The sequence below is a fragment of the Homo sapiens genome, chromosome 9, assembly GCF_000001405.40.
Source record: "Homo sapiens chromosome 9, GRCh38.p14 Primary Assembly".
NCBI classification, from domain to species: domain Eukaryota; kingdom Metazoa; phylum Chordata; class Mammalia; order Primates; family Hominidae; genus Homo; species Homo sapiens.
The window spans coordinates 2,897,575-2,902,712 of record NC_000009.12 but is presented as its reverse complement, the minus strand read 5'-3'; the positions used below and the strand labels follow the sequence as shown (position 1 = coordinate 2,902,712).

At 42.1% G+C, this 5,138-nt stretch overlaps 1 pseudogene; it reads left to right on the top strand.

The window, feature by feature from the left end:
• ATP5PDP2 (ATP synthase peripheral stalk subunit d pseudogene 2) lies at positions 1,867–2,464 on the top strand (annotated as a pseudogene).

Below are 5,138 nucleotides of genomic sequence, written 5' to 3'. Positions count from 1 at the left end.
CATGAAAAGATGTTTGGCATCATTAGTCAGGGAAATTTAAATTAAAACCATGGTGAGATACCACTACACAACTATTAGGTGACTAAAATGTAAGAATCCGACAATGCTAAGTGCTGACAAATATGTAGAACTACTGGAATTCTCATTTATTGCTGGTGGGAATACAAAATGGCACTATCACTTAGGAAAACCGTTTCACAGCTTCTGATATAGTTAAGCATTCACTTACCATGTGACCTGGCAATCTCACTCCTTGATATTTACCTTAGCGAAATGAAAACTTGCATTAACAGTGAAAACTATATTTGAATGTTTATCGCAGCTTTATTTGTAATCACCAAACCTGGAAACAACTAAAATGTCTCTTAAATAGAGAATAAACAAACAAACTATCGTTCATTCATACAATGGAATAATAATAATAATAAGGAATGGAGTACTGATATGTGTAACAATAACACTACATTATATTCAGTGAAAGAAGCCAGATTCAAAAGGCTACATACTATTAGATTCTATTTATATGCCACTGTGGAAAAGGCAACATTATGGATAAGAAAATAGATCAGAGCTACATGGCAAAAACCCATCTCTACAAAAAATATAAAAATTAGCTGGGCATGGTGGTGTGCAACTGTAGTCCCAACTACTCAGGGTGCTGAGGCTGGAGGATCACTTGAGCCTGGGAGGTGGAGGTTGCAATGAGCTAAGATTGTGCCACTGCACTGCAGCCTGAGTGACAGAGCAAGAGCTTGTTTCAAAAGCAAACAAAAACAGAACAGAGCTGGGGTTCTGAGAAGGGTTGGCTCTAAAGAGGTATGGGAAAATTTTAGGGGTGAGCAATGGAACTTTTCCAAACTGTGATTGTAGTGGTGGCAACACATAGCTATATACTTTGTCAAAACTGAAAGAACTATACATTAAAAAGAGTGAATTTTACTGTATGTAAATTTTTCTAATTACATAAAAACCTATTTAAAGATGATTACATAAAGGAATTATAGGAAAGTGAAAAAGGAATGATAAACTAGGAAGTGTCAAGGCCAGGACTGAAGGATTGGAGGATTGGTGGAGGAGATCTGTCCCAAGAGGTGGCACCTGAGTAGAGGCCTAAATGTCAAAAAAGGAGCCAGCATGGGCAGATGCACAAGAAGAGCCTTCCAGAAGACAGAAGTAAGAGCAAGGGCCCCAGGCACGATGAGCCTATTGAGTAGCAGAAAAATAAGTCAGTGCTTAGGCTCTGCTATAAATCTACAGAAAAGAAATAAAGTTCTTTTGATGAACAAAAATCTGGATCATCGTCTTGGATCTGAATTCAGGCTGTGCATAATCAAACATACTGAATATAGTGGGTAAATATAGATTTAAGGCTGCCCCTAAAAACTCCAGGGAAAGGCACGGGAGTGAGAATAGGAAAGGGGAAAGGGGAAAGGGGAAAGGAGGAGAAGGAGAGGACATGAAAACAAAACTTGCTTGCTTATAGCTTTGGATCTGGCTGGAACTTAACCACTTCAGTGTCATAGAATCACTTTCTCTGTTTTAGGTTTGCTTAGAAGACAGTAACAAGTCAAGCAATAAGTAAAATGAAGGCCTGTGAAGTTTATCAGCATCCAAGTTCATACTTCATGATCTATGCATTCTAAACTTTACAAGGGTGTTTCGGTTTATTTAATTTTTTTTCTAACTCTAAAATTTGCATACTAACTTTTTTGAAAAGTCTATTGGTGATTCTTAGACTAGCTCTTTATAATTTTCTGCATGGGCCTGAAGATTAAATTTCTTTTAATTTTGGGTTTCTCTTTATTACTATTATAGCAAAACAAACAGCATTACTTTAATTTTAGAAGTATTTTTAAAGAAATTTAGGCTGTGGACCGTGGGCAGCCAGGGTTGGTGAAGGATCCCAAGATGGTTGGGCGAAAACTTGCTCTAAAAACCACTGACTGTGTAGCTTTTGTGGAGATCATACCCCAGAACTAAAAGGCCATTGCTAATTCCCTGAAATCCTGGAATGAGACCCTCACCTCCAGGTTGGCTACTTTACCTGAGAATCCACCAGCTATTGACTAGGCTTACTACAAGGCCCATGTAGCCAAGGCAGGCTTGGTGGATGACTTTGAGAAGAAGCTTAATGCCCTGAAGTTTCTGTGCCAGAGGATAAATATACTGCCCAGCTGGATGCTGAAGACAAAGAAGATGTGAAATCTTGTGCTGAGTGGGTGTCTCTCTCAAAGGCCGGGATTGTAGAATATGAGAAACAGAAGGAGAAGATGAAGAACTTAATTCCATTTGATCAGATGACCATTGAGGACTTGAAAAAAACTTTCCCAGAAACCAAATTAGACAAGAAAAAGTATCCCTAATGACCTCACCAACCAATCAAGGATTTATAAAATTGAGTCCAGGAGGAAGATCTGGCCCTTATATTACACATTCTGGACATTAAAAATAAAATAATTATACAGTTAAAAAAAAAGAAATTTGGGTGGAGCCAAGATGGCTTAATAGGAACAGCTCCCGCCTACAGCTCCCAGCATGAAAGACGCAGAAGATGGGTGATTTCTGCATTTCCATCTAAGGTACCGGGTTCATGTCACTAAGGAGTGCCAGACAGTGGGTGCAGGACAGTGGGTGCAGCGCACCGTGCACGAGCCAAAGCAGGGTGAAGCATTGCCTCACTCGGGAAGTGCAAGGGGTCAGGGAGTTCCCTTTCCTAGTCAAAGAAAGGGGTGACAGACGGCACCTGGAAAATTGGGTCACTCCCACCCTAATACTGTGCTTTTCCAATGGGCTTAAAAAATGGCACACCAGGAGATTATATCCCGCACCTGGCTCGGAGGGTCCCACGCCCACAGAGTCTCGCTGATTGCTAGCACAGCAGTCTGAGATCAAACTGCAAGGCGGCAGCGAGGCTGAGGGAGGGGCGCCTGCCATTGCCCAGGCTTGATTAGGCAAACAAAGCAGCCAGGAAGCTCAAACTGGGTGGAGCCCACCACAGCTCAAGGAGGCCTGCCTGCCTCTGTAGGCTCCACCTCTGGGGGCAGGGCACAGACAAACAAAAAGACAGCAGTAACCTCTGCAGACTTAAATGTCCCTGTCTGACAGCTTTGAAGAGAGTAGTGGTTCTCCCAGCATGCAGCTGGAGATCTGAGAATGGGCAGACTGCCTCCTCTAGCAGGTCCTTGACCCCTGAGCAGTCTAACTGGGAGGCACCCCACAGTAGGGGCAGACTGACACCTCACATGGCTGGGTACTCCTCTGAGACAAAACTTCCAGAGGAACAATCAGGCAGCAGCATTTGCAGTTGACCAAGATCCGCTGTTCTACAGCCACTGCTGTTTTACAGCCACCGCTGTTCTGCAGCCACCGCTGCTGATACCAGGCAAACAGCATCTGGAGTGGACCTCTAGCAAACTGCAACAGACCTGCAGCTGAGGGTCCTGTCTGTTAGAAGGAAAACTAACAAACAGAGAGGACGTCCACACCAAAAACCCTTCTGTACGTCACCATCATCAAAGACCAAAAGCAGATAAAGCCACAAAGATGGGGAAAAAACAGAGCAGAAAAACTGGAAACTCTAAAAAGCAGAGTGCCTCTCCTCCTCCAAAGGAATGCAGCTCCTCACCAGCAATGGAACAAAGCTGGACAGAAAATGACTTTGACAAGCTGAGAGAAGAAGGCTTCAGACGATCAAACTACTCCGAGCTACAGGAGGAAATTCAAAGCAATGGCAAAGAAGATAAAAACTTTGAAAAAAAATTAGATGAATGGATAACTAGAATAATCAATGCAGAGAAGTCCTGAAAGGAGCTGATGGAACTGAAAGCCAAGGCTCGAGAACTACGTGAAGAATGCAGAAGCCTCAGGAGCTGATGCGATCAACTGGAAAAAAGGGTATCAGTGATGGAAGATGAAATGAATGAAATGAAGAGAGAAGGGAAGTTTAGAGAAAAAAGAATAAAAAGAAACGAACAAAGCCTCCAAGAAATATGGGACTATATGAAAACACCAAATCTACGTCTGATTGGTGTACCTGAAAGTGACGGGGAGAATGGAACCAAGTTGGAAAACACTCTGCAGGATATTATCCAGGAGAACTTCCCCAATCTAGCAAGGCAGGCCAACATTCACATTCAGGAAATACAGAGAATGCCACAAAGATACTCCTCAAGAATAGCAACTCCAAGACACATAATTGTCAGATACACCAAAGTTGAAATGAAGGAAAAAATGTTAAGGGCAAATAGAGACAAAGGTCAGGTTACCCACAAAGGGAAGCCCATCAGACTAACAGCGGATTTCTCGGCAGAAACTCTACTAGCCAGAAGAGAGTGGGGGCCAATATTCAACATTCTTAAAGAAAAGAATTTTCAACCCAGAATTTCTTTTTTTTTAATTTTATTATTATTATACTTTAAGTTTTAGGGTTCATGTGCACAATATGCAGGTTAGTTACATATGTATACATCTGCCATGCTGGTGTGCTGCACCCATTAACTCGTCATTTAGCATTAGGTATATCTCCTAATGCTATCCCTCCCCCCTCCCCCAACCCCACAACAGTCCCCAGAGTGTGATGTTCCCCTTCCTGTGTCCATGTGTTCTCATTGTTCAATTCCCACCTATTAGTGAGAACATGCGGTGTTTGGTTTTTTGTCCTTGTGATAGTTTACTGAGAATGATGATTTCCAATTTCATCCCTGTCCCTACAAAGGACATGAACTCTTCATTTTTTATGGCTGCATAGTATTCCATGGTGTATAGGTGCCACATTTTCTTAATCCAGTCTATCATTGTTGGACATTTGGGTTGGTTTCAAGTCTTTGCTATTGTGAATAGTGCCACAATAAACATATGGGTGAATGTGTCTTTATAGCAGCATGATTTATAGTCCTTTGGGTATATACCCAGTAATGGGATGGCTGGGTCAATGGTATTTCTAGTTCTAGATCCCTGAGGAATCGCCACACTGACTTCCACAATGGTTGAACTAGTTTATAGTCCCACCAACAGTGTAAAAGTGTTCCTGTTTCTCCAGATCCTCTCCCGCACCTGTTGTTTCCTGACTTTTCAATGATTGCCATTCTAACTGGTGTGAGATGGTATCTCATTGTAGTTTTGATTTGCATTTCTCTGAT